We start from the raw sequence: 23,226 nt of genomic DNA, 5'->3' as shown, positions 1-23,226 counted from the left end.
GGCCAGATGGAGTTGTGCATGGTGTGGAAAGATGAGGCATCTAGGTCCATGAGGCCAGTGCAGGACAGTAAGCTCACTGCTGCCTGCCCCACAGACTGGATTCACGGCTCACTCAAGCCCCCTCCTCAGTGCCTTGTGCAGTAGCTCCTGCCATCAGGTCTTGTTCACACACTTACCCCTCCCTACTGCCAGGCCCTACCTTTTCCTTTAATCCTGGACACAGAACATCATTACTTGACTATGCATCCCCAGCACCTAGTGCATTGCAGGTAGTAAGTGCTCAATAAGCAGCTGCTGAATGGATGGATGGATGGATGGATGGATGGATGGATGGATGGATGAATGGACACTGGAGTTAGAGTCAGAGGACTTCGATTCTTGCCTCAGCTTGACCACTACCTGGCTGTGTGCTTTAGGACAAATCACTTAACCTCTCTGGGCCTCAATTGTCTACTCCCTAATTCTGTTAACACAGATTAATTGAGTGAACATAGACAATTTGTGATCCCTTATTAATATGATCTCCTTGGCCCTAAGTCCCTAGGGCACTTCCTTCCTTCCACCTAACCACATGTAACAACAGGAGAACTGTGCCCACATCCTGTGTGTCTTCTAAAAATGGCAGGGTCCAGGAGTTCTGCCACCCATCCACGTGACCATTCATCCACTGAAGTGCTGATCTGTACCTCCAGCCCTGCCAGCCTTCCATGCTATCCTAAGGCGCATCCATCCAGGCCTCTCATTTCCCTGCTTCCACAAAACTCATTACACAGGAATCTAAACTTAGCCTCCTCTTCCCTCAACCTATTGCCATCCCTCTGAGTTCCTTCTCCTCAAAAAATGGCCCCACTGTCCAGCCAGTGGCCCCACTGTCCAGCCATTAGCCCCACCAGAAACCCAGGGGTCAGATCTTCTGCTCAGTCTCCAGCATGCATGGCTACTAAGTCTTGTTGACTTGATTTCCTCCCCTCCTCTGTCCCTGCTAAGGCCACCAATCCCACCAGTATTAGCCCCTCTAGCCTTGCTTCTCAGATGCACATCTGAGTCTATCACTTTCTCCTTTAAAATCCTTCTTCCCTATGTCTCCCTATGTTCCTCTAGGTCAAGTCCAGACCCTTTTAATGCAGGCTTATGTGTTCGTTCCACTCTGCAGCCTGGGCTTTCAAGACCCTGCCCCTCCTGACTCCTGACTCCAGCCCTTCCAAATGAGCTGCCTGCATTCTCAGGGATTTGCTGTCCACCTCCCCACTGCTGGACCTTAGCACGTGCTATTCCCTACCTCTTACCTGGCTTACTTCTATTCAAACCTCAGGCAGGCCTCTGATTTCTGGAAGCTTTCTCTGGCTTCCTGAAGACCCCTACCCTCAAGATTCTCCTTCTGTACAGTGATACAACACTACGTTCTTATCATAATCTCATCACATCTTAGGTCACCAGCATTTACTATAATGTGTTGCTATGCCACGTGTGTCTACCCCAACAAACTGTAGCTTCCTTGAAGGGACCGTGGCTGGATCCTGTTTGTGTCCTCAGTGTCTAGCACAGATCCAGACACAGGTAGGTGGGAAGTAGCAGGGAACAGTGGTTAGGAATTCAGCTTCATCTCAGCATCCTTCAGTCCAGCAGCCATGTGCCACATGCAGGCATTGAGCAGATATGCTGTGAGTGTGAAATATTCACTGGATTTTAAAAATCTGAGACAGGGTCTTGCTCTGTTGCCCAGACTGAAGTGCAGTGGCCCAATCACAGCTCACGGCAGCCTTGACCTCCTGGGCTCAAGCAATCCTCCCACACCAGCCTCCGAAGTAGCTGGGACCACAGGTGCCTGGCACCATGCTGGCCTAATTTTTGTATTTTTTGTAGAGACCAGGTTTCTCCATGTTGCCTAGGCTGATCTCGAACTCCTAGGCTCAAGTGATCCTCCTGACTCAGCCTCTCAAAGCGCTGGGATTACAGGCACGAGCCACCACCACACCTGACATACACTAGACTTTGAAAGCTTAGTGTGGAAACAAGAAAGTGAAAAATCTCATTAATACTTTTAAAAATGTTGATTATATGTTGAAATGAAAATATTTTGAATATATTGGTTAAACAAAATATCTTATTGAAATTATTCTTATTTATTTTTACTTTTTAGAATGGGGTTGCTAGAAAATTTAGAATTACACATGTGGCTCACTCACACTTTACTTCCATTGGAGGGCACTGCCCTTGAGCTAGACTCTAGATTCAAATCCCTGCTCCATGAAGCATTAACTGTAGAGCCTTGGGTAAGTTGCTTAGATGCCTCAGTTTTCCCATCTGTAAAATGAGGACAGTGTTAGAATCCTCTTACAGAGTTGTTATAAGTATTAAATGGGTTAACATGTGCTTTGCAGATAGTAAGCCGAATATAAATATTAACCATCATTCTGATTAGTTATTCAATATTTGTTGAATAAAGCATTGAATTCATAAATCTTAACCTCCTTATCCCCAGACCATCCTTGCATCTACCACTTATCTGTCTGTCATTCAACATTTATTCAGCAAATATTTATTAAGAATCTACAATGAGCCAGGCACTGTGATTGACACTGCAGGCAGAGAGGAGCATTTAATCAATCAATTAATTAATTCAGTGAATCTCTGTTGAGCGTATCTTTTGTGCCAGGGGCTGACTGGACTCTGGGATACACACAGGCCCAATGCTGCTCTCCGGGATTCTTGGGCACATGGAAGAGACAGATCTTAGTAAGGTCATGGCACTGTGGGCTGTGTGCTGGGATGGGAGGTGAAAATGCTGGACAGAAACCAGGTGGGAAAAGGAGGACAGTGTCAGGAAATGCCGCCTGATGGGGCTATGAAGCATAGGGAGGGTCTGGCCAGTCAGAGGAAGGCCACTCCCGGGAGAGGAAAGACATTTCCTCTATCATCCATCATACACTGAGCAGAGAGAGGCAGGGTCACGAAACTTGACCTGAAACGCACAGCCACATCAATATCAGTTGAGGCGGCTGTTTGTTTCTAAGTGGACAAGCCAGCTGATTGATTGAATTTTTCACTCATCATTAGGGTGTTGAACATAATCTGGAAAACAGCCCTCCAGCCAGGAGCCTCAGCATCCCTGGGCTTGGGCTTTGGGCCCCAGACAGTAGTGCCCCTCCAACTAACTCCCCTCCAACTCCCCTCCCAAACCCTAAAGCCAGGCTCCTCTGCCGTTCAGTGCACAGCTGGTAAGTTAAAAGCAGTTTAGCGATAATTCCACCTCCGCACTGAAGACTTCCAGGGACTGTTAATGAATTTAAATGCTGGGGATTCTCTCAGATGCCTCATTGCATATGTTCCTCACATTAAGATGCTAATGAGAGATCTGCTGGACAGGGGTGCTGGAGCCGGACCAGGGACGGTGGCTGGATAGGGTCACCAGCTGGTCAGGGCTTTTCTAATTCCTTATCGGCACGTGATCATTGAACTCTCCCAACAGGTTAACCAGCCTCAGTCTCTGTGGAGATTGGAGATTCAGTCAGCTGGGCCTGGGCCACGCTGGCTCGTAGCAGCCTTCTCCTCAAACCCGAAGGCTGTTGGGCACAGGCCTTATCAAGGAGGCAGGAGAATTGCTGCAGGACTTGAAGGCCTGGGACCCCTTCAAGAAGCCATGCCTTACTCAGGGACCCAGATGGACTGTGCCAAGGCTTGGGACCCAAGTCCGTGCTCTCGGGAGGTTCCAATTTTGAAGGGAAGCACCGATTCTCGTGGGGCGTGGGGCGGAAGAAGTGGCTGAAAGAGGGCAGGGCAGGTAGAAGATGGAGGTATTTACCAGGAATGGAGTGGCTCGGGCATTTGGAGGCTGGGGAATGATCAGGATGACACTTGGGGCTGCCCTTAGGAACAGCATGAGAAATAGTTGGCTTAGCATCCCCATGGGTGTGGGAAGATGGGTCTCCTTTTGACAGAAGCCAAAAGCAAAAGAGAGAGGCAAGAGACTAAGGGTGTAGAAGGGCACAGAGGTTGAGAATGGTTGCCCTGGCTTGGATCCTGCCCCTGCCATTTATGAGCTGTGTGACCTTGGGCAACCTAGCCTTTCTGTGCCTCAGTTTTCCCATCTGTAAACAGTGACAATAACAGTACCTGTGTCATTCCTGATGATGAATTCATATATGTTCAGCATTGGCACGCTGGAAGTGCTTACTCCGCATCTATAATTATTTCTATCAGTGGCCGTTGTGGCTGAGGTCCTCCCAGACCAATTTTCAGGTTCTGTTTTTAGGGAAGAGACTGACAGAGGAGATATGTGGAGAAGCAGGGTCCCTGCCAGGAGGTGCTGGGGAAGGGGTTCTGAGGCATGAAGCCTCCCCATCCCTGCCCGCTCCCACGCAGCAAGGCAAATCCCCCTGGCAGGACAGCAGCTGCCAGCTTCCGTGGAAGCCACTTCCCTCGGCTTCCTGCAAATCCACTGACAATTTTGTAAATTTGCTTAAGGATTAAATTAATAAGCTGCTCTTCCTTGGCTCCCACAGTGGTACAGACCTGCGCCCCTGTGCTCCAGGAAGCGCCTTCTGAGGCTGAGTTTGGAGGAAGTGAAGCCACCTCAGAACTGAACCCCTCCTCAGTGGAGCCCCCGGGGGTGACCCCAGCGCTTCCTTCTGCAGCCTGTGGCTTATGCATGAGTGTGACAGAAGGTCAGGGGACCTTCTCACTGGTGGGCATTTGCAAGTCCATCTTTGTGTGTTGTCTTCCTCTCTCAGACTGGAGTTCTTGAACTCAGAAATCATACTGGCAGATCTGCCGGGATAGGGTCTGTGTCTCCCCCATCAGACTGCACTCTCCCAGGGACTGTGTCTGCTTCTCGGAGGGGAGCCTCTCATACCTCTCAACATGTAGGTTTAGGGCCTGGAACCCCCTTTCCATGTCCATGTACCCCTGAATGGGGAGGAATGTCTGGGGACAGAGGAAGGGGGGCTGGCAGGACCCTGTTCTGGATATCTCCATATATGGCAACAATCCCAGTTCAATTCTGGAGGTGGGACAGAGCCTGGGGGTTGATTGCAGGGAAATTGTTCTATCCATGCTGCCTTTTCTGGGCTTCTTAGGGCTGGTTGGTCCCAGAGGGAACACAGGGTGTTGAGGTTGGGTGGAACGGGGGATAGAAGGGGTACCTAGGGTTGACAGAGGCCTCCCCACAGTCTTCAGATGTCCCCTGTGTGCTGCTGGCAGCCTTTGAAATGGGAAGGCTCTGTGTGGGGAGCAGCATCTTTCAGGATTCTATGATCCAGTTCCCTGACACCAGAAGAGCCTGGACTGTCCCAAGGTCCCCAGCCTCTCCCCTCCCTCCCCTCAGCACAGGCCTCTCCAGGTGGCTGGAGCTCTGTGGGCCTGGGCCGGGCTGGAAGCTGACCCAGCCCTGGGCTGAGGCCATGGCTGTGATCTCCCCCAGGACCGTTCCATCTTCGCTCTCTTCGTCTTCAGCTCCTTCTGCTTCTTGCCACCAGATGAACTTCCTGCTGAGTAATTGGAGCTGGAGAAATGGTGCATCCATCCAGCTGCTGCGCTTGGAGACTTTGATTAAGGGTCAGCAGGTTAACTTGTTGCCATTCAGCATGCAGGCGGGGTGGGGGCACCTCCTGATCCCTCCCCTCCACCAGCCAGTAGCTTTGCCAGGAGAGCAGCAAATGAGAAGCCTGGAGGCTCTGGGAGGGCAGGGAAGGGAGAAGGCAGGGTCCAGAGCTCTTCCATTAGTCACGAACTCTCTCCTGGCTCAACTTTGCCTATGCCCATCAGGGTACCCCGCCCAAGGCACTCAGCCCCTCCCAGAGATCCCTGGAAACTTAGGGTCCAAGAGACTGCAGAGGTACCAGATCTAACCTTTCTACAGAAGTACTGCTGGAGGGCATTGAGCCTGTGCTTACATGTGTCTAGGGATGGGGAGCTCACCACCTCTCCATATGGCTCATTCATTCCAGAGTGGGATGATTCTGCCTGTTAAAAAGCTGTTTCTTGTACCAAACCGAAATCTGTCTTCTGATCACATCCATTTCCTGGCATGGTCCTGGCCTTTGGAGATACACACCATAAGGCTCAACTCTCTTTTTCTTACTGGCTTTCAAGGACTTTAAGGCAGAGCCATTTGTCCCCTTCTAGAGAGTGTCCTCTCTTCTGTCTGCTGTGCAACACTTCACCTTATTTGCTGGCTTCCTCTAGACACTCCTGTGGACTTTGGAGTCAAGAGGCCTGGGTCCCTGCTCTGCCACGTAGTGGCTTTATGTTCTTGGGCTTAGCACTTTCAGAACTGGAAAATGGGTACAGGTTGAATGAGAAGGGGTGTAAAGTGCTTAGCATAGAGCCTGACATGGAGTAGGTCTTTAAGACTCAATGTTCCCTTCCTCTTCCCTTCCTCTCCCTTATCCGTGAAAGAATCCCATCCCTGATTATCAGCCTCACTCAGACACAGAACACAACTAGATGGGCCCATCTAACCTGTACCATGGCTCTGTCTAAACCAGGCCTCCCTCCATCTGTCCTTACCATCCACGGGCAAAGGGGACAGCCCTTACCATGGTCTAAAAATGAGCCCTGGTGATAAGAGAAGTTCTCCCCGACATTGAACTCCCTCCTGCTGCTGCAGTTGGGCGTCCACTGAGTTCTCCCAGGATTGCAGGTCCTGACCACCTTCTCCTTCCCCACCCTCAGCTCCTCATCCTGTCCTGAGGAGTCCCTGGCCACCACCCTGGGTTCAGCAGGAGCAGGGCACACCACTGTAGCACTATTTCAAGACTTCCTGTTCCGAGGAGAGATTTTAATTATCCCTGGAGACATGTCTGAATTACAAACCCCCACGGGCCCATGGCACACACTGTTTATGTTCTTCCGTAAGTAATTGTGCCTTGGTGAATTATGCAGTCTTGTGGAAAAACACAAGTTCAGCAGTGGAACTAGAGATGCTAAGATGGTCTTGCCTTCCTCCCAGCCTGTGTTTCCAGGAGCTGCACATCCTGGTCAGCACCAGCAACTTGGGCTGTGCCTCTGTTTCCAAAGTGCATTCACACATCCACATCTTCCCCTCTGTCATGCCGCCAGACATTAGTCTGCCCGTGTCATTGCTTGATTTGGCTGATGTCTTAATTTGGGGTTACCCCTACCCACAGCAGACCCCAAGTGGCAGATTTTTTAATGATCATAAATTCCTCCCACCCTGCATGCACATGCCTTTGCTGCAACTCCAATCCCGAGACAAGATCTGTTTCTCTACCTACCATGAACCCGGGCTGATCTTGTGTCTTGCCTTGACCTATGGAATGTAACAGAAAGGGATGTTGTTTGTGATCTGGAGCGTGGGCTCAAGAGGCTTGCTGCTTTCTCGTTTGCCATCTTGGGGCACTGTTGTGAGGCTGCCATGCAAGTCCAGCTACTGCAGGGTGAGAAGCCTCGAGGAGGAGGAGGACAGAGCCTTCCCCGGCCAACAGCCTGCACCACCTGCCGAACAGTGGGTGAGGCCAGCTTTGATCTTCCAGCTCAGGGGACCCTCCGGCTCTGCGGGACCCAGTGAAACCTCAGAGGAACCGCCCAGCCAACAGCCGAATCAGGGGAAATCAGAAATCCTTGCTGTTTCAAGCGATTCTGGGGTGGTTTGTTGTGTAACAATAGTGCCTGAAACACACTGACACAAGAATCTGAGTGCAAGGAGTATATCTGGGAGGTGATCCCAGGAAATGCTCTGAGGGAGTGGGGAAATGAGACAGGAAGGAAGGAGAGCCAGGTATGGGGTGTTCACGAGGGTTATCTCTGTGGGTCTGTGGGCAGCTGGGGCTCTCAGGCTCATGGCAGATTCTCTGGAATACTTCCCAGTGTGCCTTATTTTGGTCCCATGGAGGGGCGAGGAAGTTGGGGAATTTATCCCCCAACCCCAGCCCTCCTTGGCAGAGGGTTGTCTGTGGGCTGTTAGCTCCCTGGCGCTTTTGGCCTGATCAGTACATGGATTGGCACACTCCCGGGGCTGGAGGACACCCATCTGTCACCGTTGGCAGGTCTTTCTGCAGGCAACCTCCAGGGCTGGCTGAGGGGATATGCATGGGGTATGATCACATGTGTTACAGCCGATCAGAATTTCTTGAGTACCTGTCATGTACAAGTTCATCTGTCCTCTGGTAGCTCATAGGCAGGTGAAAGACACAAACTAGAAGAGAAATTCTCCATGAGGGCAGTGCCATCGTGGAGGGACAGTTTTGTAAATAAGCAGGGGGACATTTTCGATGTTCACAATCACTATAGGGGATGCTACTGGCATTTAGTGGGAGTGGCCAAGGATGTTAAACGCTCGTCGAAGCAGGGATGATCCTGCTCAGTGAAGCATCACTCCACATCCCACGCGACTTGCAAATATCTTGGTCGACATTCAAGTAGACAAAAAACCTGTTTATAATTATTTGAGCCTGGAACCTATGTTATACATATAAACATAAAGTATTTGTGTCATGAATTTAATATACACTGATTTTTCTGGGAGTACAACTACCATGTAAATTGAAGGAAGATTGTTCCGTTGGAAACATTACCAAGAGTTATTCATCATTTCTGGAAAATCACATTTCCAATGGCAAAGCTCTTTGTGGCAGTGGAGTCCCAGACACAACCTCCCGAGTGTTTGAGGCTCTGGCCCTCAGGGTGAGCTAATGTGTAGACACAAACCTCTGACGACTTCATTATGTCTTCTAGTGCCATCAAACCTGAGCATTTACATATTGAGATACATATTTTATTATAAATTATCTTTATTTTACTTTTTTATCTTACAGTTAGGGCATTATGTTGATTTATTTTCCAGTGATGTGTCTAGGTAGGTTATACTGTATATGAATTTCATTTCAGGATTGTAAAGGAACCATTACAAACTATTTGTTATAAAAGGGACAGAGTCTGATAGGGCTGAGAACTTATCAAGCATTTCAAGCCAATAGCACGGTTCACTACCACATAGGTGTGAACAAGGGGCTTTTGGAGCCTGGAAAAGGAGAGACTTATTTGCCTTAGTGATGGTGGGTAGCTGAGGAAGGCAAGGATCAGGGAGCGCTTCACAGGGGAGGTGACATTTGAGCAAGTCTCAGGATGAATCCATGGACCTCCTGCAATCCCCAAAATGGTTCTAAAGAGTGGACAGGACAGGAACTCAGTGAGATCTTGGTAACTGTCGGTTTCATTAATGAATATTTATGCTATTTTACAAATAAGCAAATTGCAAATAGAAGCTCAGGAAAGTTAAGTGACTCACCAAGCTCACGCAGCTATTAAGTCATAGGGCTTGGCACATATTCCCTCAGCAAACAGTTTTAGACCACTTACCCCATGTGAAACGTTATTGTAAGCACTGACAGTCAGCATATATGGAGTAAGGATCTACAAGGTGTCAATATTGTGGATATGAGGGTGAACAAGACAGACCTTCTCATGGAGGAGAAAAAAAAATAAAAAGTAAACCAAGATTTCTTACTATCAACACTGTTGACATTTTGGGCCAGATACCTTTGTTGTAGGGCTTCCCTTTGGAAGCTTAGCAATATCCTGGCCTCTACTCACTAGATGTAGTAGCACTCCCCCTGCCCAGTTGTGACAACCAAAAGTGTCTCCAGATATTGCCAAGTGTTCCCTGGGGAGCAAAAGCCACCCTTGGTTGAGAACCACTGATGTAAACAAACAAATAAGATAGTATCAGGTGCTGTTAAGTGTCATGAAGAAGATAAACCGGGGTTGGAAGGTGAACAGTGATTAGGAGTGTGCTGCCTGGCTTGGGTCAGGGAGGGATTCTCTGAGGAGGTGGCATTTGAGAAAATGCTTGAATGTTGAGAAGCGGTAGCCATACAGTGATTTAAGAGAAGGGAGTTTCATTCTCCATCACCATCACCATCAACAACATCATCATCATCATCACCATCACCATCATCATTACCATCATTATTATCAACATCATCCTCACCATCATCATTATCATCATCACCATCATTACCATCACCATCATCATCTTAACCATTGTTATCATCATCACTGTCATCACCATCATTATCATCATCACCATCACTATCATTTGCTTCTGATTATATAACACCTTCCATGCCAAGCACTGCTCTTTACATGTATTGACTCATTTAATCCTCTTAACTACGCTATGAAGCAGATGTATGATTTTCTCCATTTTACACATAAGAAGGATGAGACACAGAAGAAGCAATAAGAGCAGAGTTCTTGAGCTTGTTTTGGAGGCCAAATGAAGGTCACTGTGGCTGGAGCACAGTGAACGTGGGGGAGGGCCGGGCTTGGTGGCTCACGGCTATAATCCCGGCACTTTGGGAGGCCAAGGCCGGTGGATCACCTGAGGTCAGGAGTCTGAGACCAGCCTGGCTAACATGGGGAAAACCCGTCTCTACTAAAAATACAAAAATTAGCTGGGCATGGTGGCGGGAGCCTGTAATCCCAGCTACACAGGAGGCTGAGTAAAAATAATTGCTTGAACCCGGGAGGCAGAGGTTGCAGTGAGCCGAATCATGCCATCGCACTCCAGCCGGGGCAACAAGAGCAAGACTCCATCTTAAAAAAACAAAAAACAAAACAAAACAAAACAGGTGGTGGTGGGAGATGCATTGATGAGAGAGTCAGATCATGCCAAGTCTTGTTTGTCTTGTCTAGTAGATGCTGTGGTGGGTTGCCCTCCTCCTCGAGCAGCTGAAAGCACTCATCTGAGTTCTCTCTAGGAATTGCTGTCAGCTGAAGAGGGCTGCCTGGTCCAATTGAGGTCACACGCTATTCCTGGGTGAAGGCAGCCCATATCTATGATAGGTTGATGCAGGAGTGTAAGGCTTGACTTCCTATTCTGGGACAACTCTGAAAGGTCATCCCTGCTCTAGAGCTTCTGTGGGATTGGCTGAGGTCTCTGTTGCTTCTGCATTGTAGCTCAACATTTCCCCTACCAATTCTGCTTTCTTCCTTTCCCACAGGTGTAATCCTGAGAGCACATCCCAATTAACTTCCTACATACCATTTTCCAATCTTTCCAGGGAAACTGAGCTGTGACAGCACATTACGGTATTTGGTTTTATTCTGGTTGTGATGAGAAGCCGTTGGAGAGTGTAAGCAGGGGCATGGTGCTCTGGCTGCTGTATAAAGCAGCTGTATAAGCAGCTGGCAGTGGAAGGCCAGCAGGGAACAGGTGTGGTGGTGCAGGTGAGAGGGTAGTGTAGGACCACAGCATGGGGTTGCTGATAAATGCTCAGACTCGGGATATGTTTAGGAGGTGGAGCCAATAGGGCTCACTGTACAGTGTGTAAAAAGGAAGCAAGGATCACTCTGGATATGTGGGCCACTGGTGGATGGAGGTGCTACTTCCTGAGATGCGGAAGGCTTGTAGGGAGTGGGAGGAGTGGCTTTGTAGGTGAAATCAAAGGCTCTTTTTGGACTTAATGAGTTTCAGATGCCTCCGATATTGAATGGGCAGTTGGATAAATGAGTCTGCAGGCCAAAGGCATGGCCAGAGCTGGAGATATAAATGTAGAGGTGATCAGCACACAGATGATATAGAAAGCAATATGAATGAGTGAGGTCCCCTGGAGAGACAGGGTTCATTCAGAGGATAAGGGAGCTGGGACACTCCAAAATTTAGGCAAAGGAGAAGTCCTGGAAAGGAGTTGGAGAAGTGGCCCTGAAGGAGGAAGAAAACTAGATGAACATGTTACCAAGGAAGCAAGAGAAGCAATCGTTTCAAGAGGGTGGGAGTGGCAACCATGCTGGACATTCCCAAGAGACTAAACAAGGGAAGGAGAGAGCAGAGACAACTGACTTTTACTAAGTGTTGGTTCTTGGTGACCTTGCTAGAAGTTGTTTCAGTGGGCAGGTGGTGAGGAAGGGGGTCTGGCTTGGACTGTTGCTGCTCTGCCTACGTTCTCCTGTGTTCCTAACCCAGCCATGGTCTCGCTCCCCACCTCCCTCCCTCACCTCTCAATTAAGGGCTGAAAAGCCTGGGATCCTCTTCAACTATTGGAATCCTGGGGCTCAGTCTCTTTGGTTTTAAGATGGAAGAGAAATGGGAGGGATTGTTTGGGAGCAGGTCTCTGGGTGCCAGGGGTCCAGAGTCAGGCCTGCTGGGGTTACCTTCTGCCCAGGCCTCAACCTACCTCCTATGTCACTTAATCCCCAGGGCTGGACTCAGTTCGACTGACTCTCTTTCTCTCCCGCGTAGACAGGCCAGATGCAGATGGCTTGAGTTGCATACGATGGTGCTGGGGGTTGGGGGCTCCAGCCTTCCACTTCTCAGATGGCCAGTTCCTCTCTGACCTCAAGCTCTCCCCTTATTTCATGGTGGAGGGTGAAGGCGTAGGTCATCCAGGGGGCATGATGTGTGCCACGAGACACAGCTTCTCCCCTGGATTTGGAATTAGGGGCTGCTCTGTGCTCCAACCCTGCTTACTGCTCAGTGGAGGAGGGGCAGGTGAGACGAGGGGACACAGAGTCCTGGCCTGCGTTTGAGCCTTTCCTGCTGCCAGTCCCATCCACATCACCCTCACCTGATGGGACAGGAGTCAGATGAGGGTGACATAAATACATGTCACCAGTATGTATTGTTTAATACTTCACTCCAGCTCCAGAGGCAAGCTTTATTGTGCCTATTTCATAACTGAGCAAACTGAGGCTCAGAGGGGTGACCTGACTTTCTTAGGGCCACGTACGTAATAAGTGTAAGAGGTGTGTTTGGAAATAAGCTCTTATGACACCAGACTGCTGAATGGGGCCTTAATCTCCCCATCTGGACAGTGGAGGAGTCTGAACCGTTCATCTGAAATTTCCTTCCGGCTCTGTGGTTTCAGGTATCTCTGGGAGAGTGGGCATGTTCAGGAGCAGAGATTTGTCACGGGGGAAGGGAGTTGGGGAGCCGGAAGGGACAGGAGAAGCTTTCAGTCTGGGTGCCACAGTCTCAGGTTCAACTCTTGACATTATCTTCAAATGAGGTAATTTCTCCTGTCTCAGTGCTGCCCAGTTGGGTAAAAGAAACAGTTCATCCTATAATGTTAAACTTGGTCCTATTAACAGACCACACCATCTGTAGCATATTATGAATTAATTAAAAATAAACCTGTAATTATCTTGTTAACATAGCAATTATATTACATTGTAATTTTTTTGTTAAAGCATTAAATTGTTAATATTCAAGATGTAATATATAGCACAATTTTTTGTAAGCTGATTTTGGCAAAATCTTCATTGTTTTAACACACTGGCAGCCTTGCACATCAGAAGCGGCCTCTGAGGGACCCCGTGGTCACAGGATCTTTCTTTGAGCCTGGTCAGAATGTTGGGCTGGAGAAGGAAGCAGAGTCTGCATTTATTTCCCAGGGTTTTCTTCCATTATTTTTTTTCCTTGCAAAGAGCTGCCCTTTGCCTGAGCCTGAAAGTCCATGGGCAATCAAAGAACCTGCAAAATCAAAGCAGAAGGAAATTGGAAAAGAGGACAGAGCCCTGACTCTGCAGATTCTCCCGCAGGCCTTGGACCAGGGTCAGAGGCCGGCCTGGTGGGAACGTGTGGTCAGTCAGTGGAGGACATGGGCTTGCAGGGTGGAGGTGCCTGTGTGTATATGTGTGTGTGCACGTGCACACACACTTGTGAGGGGGGAACCCAGACAGGAGAGGGCTGAGATGGGAGGAAGGGGAGAACATGCATTCAGACAGTCAGTACTGGGAACAATCATGAGGGCTTCCTGGAGAAGGTGGCATTTCTATCTCAAGTTGATGCACAATTTGCATGAAGACATTAAAGCCCTTCCTTTATCCTGTACTCTGCAGCCACAGCACACCCATCTCCAGTCTTGTCCCCCTCTAGAGGATGCTCTACCCAAGGAAGAATTGAGTTAGCACTGCTCCCACCCTCTCCCAACATCTATCCCCAAAGAAAGAGATAACCTAGTGGAAAACAGCTTCATTTGAATGCTAGAACCCTAGGCTGGTGGAGCTGGAAGAGAACCAAACCACCCCCTCCCCATAGTCATTTTCATTTTCAGGTGAGGAAACTGAGGGTGAGTACATCCATGACTTTAACTGGTATCTCTCCTATGCTCATCCTCTTGGTACCTTGGGGAGTTGGTGGGGTGAGTACAAGCTGAGTGGGGTGGAAACAGAGCATTTTCCTTTTCTTGGATTCTGGGTCTCCAGAAGCAAAACGTGTGGAGGGCTGGCTGTTGTATCATACCCCCACCCCAAATCTGTTTCCTGTATTCCACTGTGCTGAGGGCTAGCTCTCAGGTAAAGTGAAATAGTGCAGTGACATGGAACATGACCTTAGAGAGAATCTTCACACCACTCTTCGCTGTCCCTACCTCTTTGCCTCACTTTACTTCCAAAGGAGAAAACCGGGACCAGAGAGGGGTAGTGACTTGTGCAAGGTAACACAGCAGGTTTCCTGAAATCCAGGCTTAGTCTGCTCTGAAGCAACTTCTGTTTGCCTCCACTCACCACTTTATCAGCACAGGCTACTGAGTTCTGACAGCACCTCCTGTCCGGCTGCCTCCCGAGTCTCTGCCTCTCTTGTCTCATACACCCAACTTGGCTTCCCATCCACCTGCATCAACTCCTCTCCTGTCTTTTGAATTAAAAATAAAAATGCCTCCCAAAGTGCCACCTAAGCCCCAGGGACAGCGGTAAGATCCACTCTACAGTACATGGCAGTTTATGGGGGTACCCCACAGCCATATTCCTGATGAGCTTTCCCTAAAGACACCGTGTGGCAAGCACTGTCACTATCGCCATTCAACAAACCAGAAAATTTAGGGGCAGTGATACGATGTCCTCCCAGAGTAATTTTGGGATTGGGGATTTTTAGGCCACTAGCTCTGGAGTGGAACTGCTTGGATTTGAGTCCAGGCTCTGCCCTATCCTGGCCATGTGACCCTGGGCCAGTCACTTACCTTCCTGGAGACCTACCATTAAAAGGGGACATACTGAGTGTTGTTACCAAGGAGTTAGATGAGTTGATTTGCTTCAAGTGCACAGGAGGGCCTGGCAAAGAGAAAGCCTCAATGATGTTAACTGTCATCGTGATGATTGTTTTGGGGACCTCTCTGCTTGCCCTGCTGCCTGGACGGCATTTTCCATTCATGGCGGGGGATTTATTGTTATGTTAATTTGCATTTGTTCTCCCCTCCAAGTCCTATGTTGAACAAATGTGGGAAGGGCATTGGGAGGTGACCAATCAGCAGTTTGTGCCTCATGTTGGATGAGATTCTCCACCCACTGTGTGAAGTTGGGAATGTTAGTTCATGAGTCTAGGTTTCTTTATCTGTGAAATGGGAAGAGACCTCATGGTGCTTTTGTGAAGACCGAGTGAGAGAATGTGTATACAATGTCAGTACCAATAATATTTATGGGCTGATTACTGACTGGCAGGTGAGTGATTTGTCTGAAATGGAAGGAGTGGTCCCAATAGGAAGGCTTCCTGGGGGCAGCCAACCTGAGCTCCCAGGCCCCACACAGGCTCTGACACCATGGAGGCATGCTCAGAGGCAGCTTCACCTACCCACTGTTCCCCTGGGCCTGGACCACACTGAGGAAGCGCTGGCTCCAAGGGGTCCCTGGCTTGATTGAGGTCACAGCCCTGGGAGTGGCCTCCATCCTTGCCCAAAACCAGCAGGGCTGGAGGGGAACCTGGTATAGTGGGGCTTAAATCACAGCAGTGCTGACTAGGTTTTAAGTAAGATTTCCTTCTAAGTAAGTAATTCTGTTTCTTAGAAGGAGGAGGGACCCCAGAGCCATGCAAGCAGCTCATCGTGTTTAAGCCTTCCGTCCCTCCTCCTCCATCCCTCCTTGCGCTAAGGCCCTGCAGCTGTGGAAACTGTGGCTCAGCCCAGGCTGTGTCAGCTTTGGGACTGGGTTTGGAGGAGATGGAAGAAAGGTTTCTGAAGCCAAGTCCTTCTCCAGGAGCACTCTGGAAGCTGCTGTGCCTCTCTCTCTTCCCTCCCTCTCTTCCCTGCTGCTTTTACTCATTCATTCATTTGTTCCTTCATTCACAGAGCCTTCTCTGACTCATCTCCTCACTCAGTCACTTGTCCATCCATCCTCCCATCATGCCCTCGGCATTCACTGACCACTTACCAGGTGTCAGCTGACTTCTAGCTCCTGGGGCAGCATCAATGAATCAGCGAGTGCACTTGCGGTTCACAATGTGCTGTCCTGTTCATGGTCCCCTGTGCCCTGCACATCAGCTCTTAGAGGCAGGCAGTCCAGGTTCAAGTCCATCCTGATTCCCAAGTATAAGCTCTTTCCACCACACCACACTGTTCTCTGATGGGTCTGCCTCTGTGGTGTCATTGGATTCATCTTTCTGTTCCCTCCCCCATGCCTTGTTCTGGCCTACTTCTGCCTTTACTGCCTTTCCTGATAGCCTCCTCCTAACTGCCCTTGCCCTTTCCTAATCTGTCTTATGTGTGGCTGCCAGACTATTGTTCCAGTCTGACTATGACATTGTCCTGCTCAAAAACCTTTAATGGCTCCCCATTGCTTGCCAAATAAAGCCCAAACTTTTAATCTTGGCATCCAAGGCACTCAACTTGTTGTCTTTAATTGATTTCTCTGGTCTTTTGTTTGTCTTTTCCCATTCATGCACACTACCCTTCAGAAAAATGGGATCATTTTCTCCTGCTAACAAAATCATTGGATTTCCTACCAAAACACCTGAGGTGTTTGCTTATGCATTTTCCTCTGCTTGTGATGTTCACCCTGCCATGGCCACACCGTGTCCACAGGTCCAAATCCTGCCCATATGAAAGGTCATGTTTAAGTGCCACTTGCTCCTGCCTCTCCCCCAGTTGGAGCCATCTCTCTGTTCTCTGGGTTCCCAAAGTACTTGAGCCTCACAGCATGGCTATTTATGGACATGCCTTGTTCCCTCTTCTAGACTGGGAGTTCCTTTGGGGTAGGGTCCCTGGCCTGGTCATTTCTGCATCCTTGAGCCCATGGACAAAGCTGTGCATGCAGCAGTTATTTGATTATTTCTGTGCTCTTAGTCTTCCACCGCCCAGAGATACTCCTCTCCCAGAAAGGCAGCTGTGGGGGCAGTGAAGGTGGGTGGCTGGTGGCCTCAATTCTGGGCAGATAGACCTAGGCTGACTCCATAACTCGCTGTGACATTGGGTAATTTACTTAACTGCTCCAACCTCAGTTGCCCCATCTGTATAAAGGCAGATATTGATATTGGTGCTTTCATCATCTTATTGAGAGGATGGTGTGGGAGAATGCGTATCCCCTAAACATAGCACCTGCCACTCTCAATAAACATTAGTACTTGTTATCAGTTCTAATCCCATCATTAGCAGCTCTGCAGCCTTGGCAAATAAATTCAGTTTCTTGAGACTTGACTTTCTCATCTGTAAAATGGCAATAACAATCTCTGCTGGCCCAGCTTGAGATGTCATTGAGAAGATGAAATGAGATGATAGATATTGTGTGAGTCAAAGGCTGTGAATGGCAGAGTCCCTGCTCAATTATGTTTAATGAAGAAATAGGAAATTCATAGGCTCATATCACTTGATCATAGGAGGGCTGAAGCCAGCGGAGCTAGGCACCTGCTTTTTGTCTCTCATCTCTGTCTCTTTGTGCATGACTTCATCTTTGCCATGAGAAAGGCTGGAGGCATGCTCACAGGCAGCTCCACCTACCCGCTGTCCTCATGTCTGAACAGGAAAGAAGCCTCCTCACCAGTCTCAGGAAGAAAAATCCTAGAGAAGGCTCTGATTAGACCAACATGGTCACATGGCCACCTGTGTAGCAGGAGAGAAAAGGAACACACTGTACGAGAGAGGAGAAGCAGTTCTCTAAGCAGAAGGGAGCTGTTTGTTACTAGATGAAGGAGACAGAGCACTGGGCAGACAAGTGGAACAGATGTCCCCTCCAGGTATGAAAGCACTTCTTTCATCCATCCCTATGCGTCTAGCACTGTGGTGGGCACTGAAAAAATAAAGATGAATACACCACTGTCATTGCCTGGATAGTGCATGGCTTTGTGCGTGGGCTATATGGATGTAGACATGGCACCCCATAGCTTAGAGAGAGAGTTCTAAACTATGGGAGAGTTTGAAATTTGCTTTACAGATATAAGGTGACATTACTGCTATTCATATCATTTCACAACATGCAATCGTTTATGGGAACCTCTGAGAGTCAGGGGAGATGAGAAAAAGGAAGTGGAGATCAGAACAGATCACAGAGCGAGATCACTGAATGGTCAGCAACAGGCTATTTTGCATACTTTCTCATGTCATCTTTGCAAGAACCTACATCTTTGCAAGTAGGAATTAACAGTCTGCATTTTCAAGGTGAGGAAGGGGACACCTGGAGAGGTGAAGTGGCTCCCCAGAGGTCACGTGGCTAGAAAGGGCAACTCTGGGATTTGAACCCAGGTCTGCCCCACCTGGGTCTCGTGCTTTTTGCCCAGTCCCATGGAGTGGCAGGGAATGACAGGCCCGCCCCTGACTTGGAAGCACGTCTTTTGTGTCTCTTTAGAAGAAACCAGAGCTTACTCAGGCAGAGGTTAGGGTCTGACAGCTGGGAGAATCAAGTGTGGAATGAATAAGTGGCCAACAGAGAAAATAGTTCAGGAGGCAGGATTGAAAGGAAGAGACCCTTGTAGGGGTGTGTGTGGGGATCCTACACCCCAGTCCCTGTCTCCCTCCCCTACCTCTCCCTTTCTCCTCTTCAACTCAACTCCAAGTGGCAGATTTATTAGTTTTAATTAACAGCCCAAATGCTTGGAAAACGTCCAAATTCCAGCTCTTGGCATCACTGGGTTTCCACGGGAAGGGGTGTGAGGGGGATGATGCCAGGAATAGTAATGAGCCGGGGTGAGACAGCAGGAGAAACCACCCTCCCTGCCTGGACCTGGCCTGGGCACCTGCCATCCATCCTCTGGCCCAACCTGACCTAACCTTGTGGGAGCTAGAGCTGGGCTGGCTTTGTGGGTGGGGGAGGCCCAATCCCATGTAAGGTCATGGGATTTGGGAGCATTTGGCTGTGGTTAGAGATCTGCTGCTGTGTGACCTTGGCCAAGGTGCTTGACTTCTCTGGGGTTATGGTGAAATTCATCTGCAAAGTGAAGGGGATGATTTCAAGCCCTGTGAGAGTCCTGGCAGCTCTAAATTGTGATTCAGCTTTTTTCCCAAATCTTCTAACTGCCCTACTTTTCTGACTCTTCCTCTTCCAGGGAAAGACCTTGAATTTCTCCCTTGGACTCTGCTCCTCTCCTAGAGCCTCCTTCCAGTTTGGAAAAAGTTCTCCACTCCCAGTTTGGGTGTAAGGCCTTCACTTACACCCAAGTGTAACTGTGTAAGGCAATCCTGTTTGAGGTCTGTCAATCTGAGCTTGACCTTGGCTCTATGAGCCCTTACTGGGTGGGGGTCTCAGGCAAGTCTGTGCCATGCATTTCCTCATTGCACATGGGGATGACAATGACTGTTTCCTGGGTATGTGTGTGTTGGGTGGGGGGGGCGGTAGGTGTTGGGGGGCGGTAGGTGTGGGGAGGTGGTGGAGATTCAGTGAGATAATTCTAGTGCAATGCCTGCCTGGTACGATGATCAACGTGGGACCTACCCATGACCACGTGAGGCTGTGAGCCACCCCTGAGCCCTTTTCCTTTTGGGGACCCACTGAGAGCCATGCACAGAGGGAGAGGCTGCTGTCATTTGTGGTAACCAGCAACAGTTGGTTGGAAATTCCAGTCACTGGCCAAGGTCAGATTGAAGGGAGCTCTTTAGATTCCGGTTCTACCCCTTTTCCCTCACTATAAGCCCTGTGTCTTCGGCTCTACTCTTTCTTCATGCTGTGCCGAGATCATGCAAAATTATTAAACTAAAATCATTCAGCAGGAAAGGCAACACGAGCAATCATAGTTTGCTGCTGAGAAGCCATGGCCTTCACTGAGGCTGGGCAGCAGGAGCTCAGTGTGGCTGGGAGGCTGGCTTGTTTCAGTGTTTTCCAGAGACAGAAAATGCAAGCCCCTGCGGTCTCCTTTCCTCCAGCACAGCCTCGAGCCCTACAAGCTAAGTGGTCAGGTAGTCTGGTCTCACTTTGGCAGCAGGTCTTGCTGGGGGTCTTCAACCAGGATGCCAGCACTCTCTGAGCCCCAGGTTCACCAGGCTGAAGTTGCTGGTATGAGCAAAGGAGTTTGGAGCTCACACCCATGGTTCCTGGTCTCTGAGAATCATGTTCCCCTCTGGTTTCTGGAGGGCAATGAGGAAGGGGGGGGCGGGAAATAGGGGTTGAGGGTGGGAGGGCACGCGTGGGAGAAGGAGGAGGACTGGGGGAGGAGATCCAGGAATGGAGATCCACAAGACCCCAGTTAAGCATCTCTGGGTGATGTGACTTACTTGTAGGGTACTTACTCCAAATGTATGTTTCTCTCTCCACCTGGAATGCAAGGAAAAACCTAGAGTCCCTTGGCCATAAATATGTTGACTTCTTGACCTCTCCCTCTTCCAACCAACCTTCCACCTACCCATCTGCCCATCCGACGTGAATAGGGCCTCTCAGGCAGGTTCTTAGCAAGGGATAAAGAAGTGAATAAGATGTTGAAAGTCTTCAAATCAAGTCCTGGCACCCCCTGCTGCACACCCGCCACCCAAAACCTTCTCTTTTCTTTTCTTTTTATGATACAGGGTGTTGGTCTGTCACCCAGGCTGGAATACAGTGGCACAAACATGGCCCACTGCAACCTTGATCTCCCAGGCAGAAGTGATCCTCTCATCTCAGCCTCCCAAGTAACTGGGACCACAGGTGTGCATTACCACACCTGGCTAATTTTTGTATTATTTGTAGAGACGAGGTCTCACCATATTGCACTCTGGGCTCAAGCAATCCTCCCACCTTGGCCTCTCAAAGTGCTAGGTGGCGTGAGCCACCATGCCTGGCCTAACCTGCTTTTCTCTGTCTTGGAGTTTGGTTCCACTATTTCCCTAGTCCTCCCAGCTGGAAACTGCTCTGTTCTCTGAACTCTCGCCTGCCTCACCCCACCCCAACTCTCATTCTTCCTTCCAATTCATTTCACCTTCATCATCACTGACTTCCTGTGCTAATTTATCCAGCCCCTTCATTCATCAGCACCATGGCGCTCACAGCCACGGAAGGAGGGAGTGAGGCCTCAGGACTCACTTGACTTCCTCTCTTGATTCTGTGCCAGGGCTGGGTGTGGAGTGAAAATGAAAAGCTCTGGAGTCAGAGGGGCTTGTTTCTAAGCCTGCCTCTGCCTTTTCCTAGAGGTGCCACTTTGGGCAAGATGCTTAAACTCAGCCTCAGTGTCCTCCTTTGGAAGACGAAGATATTAGTATTTCTTCCACATGAGGAGGCTGATGAAACCAGATCATGAATGCCAAGTGCCTCTGCGGTGCTTGGCACACAGTAGGGGCTCAGGGAATGCTGGTCCAACCTGCCCTCCCTCTCCCTTCCTCCTTCTTCTTTCTCCTCTTCCTCCCCACAGGCATATAGTTCCCAGCACCCAGGCTGCAGAGCCCTGTGCAGCTGGCTCAGCCCTCCCAGGAGAGGTGCAGGCGGGCAGGGGTCCCAAAGTCACATCAGAGGTCTTGATGGGAAGCAGGAAGGATGAACTCGGCTTGGCTTCTGGGGAATTACTCAAAACTAGACACTAGGCTCCCTGGTGGGGGTGGGGGATAAGCCCAAAGAACTGAGTAGCTCCCAGGCTCCCCACAGATCTCCAAGCAGAAAACCCCAAAACTCCATCTCCGTGGCAGGCAGAAAGAGGCTCCTCCTAGTCACAGCCTCTGGGTGTGGTGAGAGAACACCACCTCCTCCCAGGGATGAGGAGGAAGGAAGCGCATTCTATGAAGGGGTGTCCAGGCACCCTCTGATCCCCACCCATCACCCCAGCCGAATTGTCTTCTTGCCGGTTATTCTATGAAGGGGTATCCAGGCACCCTCTGATCCCCACCCATCACCCCAGCCGAATTGTCTTCTTGCTGGTTATTCTATGAACAGGTATCCAGGCACCCTCTGATCAGTACCCATCATCCCAGACAAATTGTCTTCTTGCTGGTTTAGGATTCTAGACTGGGCTGGAGAGGTCCAATTCTTCACTTTGCAGAAGAGGAAACTGAGGCCCCGAGAGGAGGTGGACCTGGAAGCCGTGACTCTCGCCTTCCTATTCAGTGCTCTCAATTCTCCTGAATTCCAGGAGCCTGGGCTTACCGTAGGAGCCTCCCATGAAGGCTGGGATGTGGTTCCCTGAGCAGGGAGGGAGGAACTGGCCTCGGGACAGGCTGCATGGGTGGCTCTGGCACACTGGCAAAGTCCTGTTTCCTGGGACCTGGGAGGTGGTTTCCTGGGTGTTCACTTTGTATAACTTATTAAGCTCTACATTTATGGGTTATTCAATTTTTGGTATTTGTGTTATATTTCACAATAAAAAGGGTTTAAAAATCCTAATAAATCTCACTGAAATCAATTACACATACAAGAAAAAAGAGAGAGAAAGTTAAAGAGGCCCCAGGTGTGAAGGCGGCCCCATCCACGTTTTAGTCTTGGCAACAGTTCGAATTCTAGTTACTCCCTCTGTAAAATGGGTACAGCATTCCTCACCTTTCTGCTATTCAGGGAAGTGAGCATGGTGGTGGGGGCAGACATTTTTCAAGCACCCAGCACACCCTGCTATAGGAGGGTGACAGGCATCATGGCTCCTGAGTCAGGGTTGGGTGAGAACACCCTGATGACGTGGCCATAAATGCCATCCCTGACCTCCCTTTCAAGGCCATGTACAGTCTGCCAGCCTGCTGCACCACTGACCTTTCAGGGCACAGTTATTGGGGTTCTGGTGGCCAGGGTCGCCTCCAGGTTCTGCTTTGCCTTTCTGTAACATGGGAGGATTGAGGGGCGTGCCCCCAGAAACACCTGGATTCTGTTAATTAAGGTAAAGCATGCTGCCCAAAGTTCCAGAGGGGTCATTTGACTGTCTCAAAGTCACACAATGTTGAGTGCACGTCTGAATTGAGGATCCTGTTCCCAGGACCTCTCAGGGAGCCCCCGCCTTCCTCCACGCCTTGCCCTTGGCCTGGACCCCATGGGACATGAATGCCGGAGCAGCCTGCATTCCTCTCTGCTGTCCCTGGTGATGCAGGGCTGGCCCTGAGCATTTGTGACTTTAAAGTTTCCTGAGATTTAAGGCCAGGCCGGCTGGTGGCCTCCACCTCCCCAGGCTGTGGGTGGGAGGAGGGGGTATGA

General features: G+C 49.6%; 2 long non-coding RNA genes across 6 annotated transcripts in view; both read left to right on the top strand.

Moving 5' to 3' along the window:
- LOC105371742 (uncharacterized) overlaps nucleotides 1-20,640 on the top strand; it is a 163,994-nt gene extending 143,354 nt beyond the window's left edge. For 2 of the 5 annotated variants that reach the window (XR_001752848.3, XR_001752843.3), the window contains exon 4: nucleotides 17,687-20,640. This is a non-coding gene — a long non-coding RNA (uncharacterized LOC105371742). The remainder of the gene's footprint in view (nucleotides 1-17,686) is intronic. The other 3 variants (XR_934691.4, XR_001752844.3, XR_001752845.3) reach the window with 3 other exon arrangements.
- A 92-nt stretch (nucleotides 20,641-20,732) lies between these two features.
- Nucleotides 20,733-22,434, top strand: LOC124903987 (uncharacterized). The gene is made up of 2 exons (XR_007065723.1): nucleotides 20,733-20,772; nucleotides 22,051-22,434. It is a non-coding gene; the product is annotated as an uncharacterized LOC124903987 (long non-coding RNA).
- The last annotated feature ends 792 nt before the right edge of the window (nucleotides 22,435-23,226 follow it).

This window comes from Homo sapiens, chromosome 17 (genome assembly GCF_000001405.40).
Source record: "Homo sapiens chromosome 17, GRCh38.p14 Primary Assembly".
Taxonomy (NCBI): Eukaryota; Metazoa; Chordata; class Mammalia; order Primates; family Hominidae; genus Homo; species Homo sapiens.
This window is presented reverse-complemented; position numbering and strand designations above follow the sequence as displayed.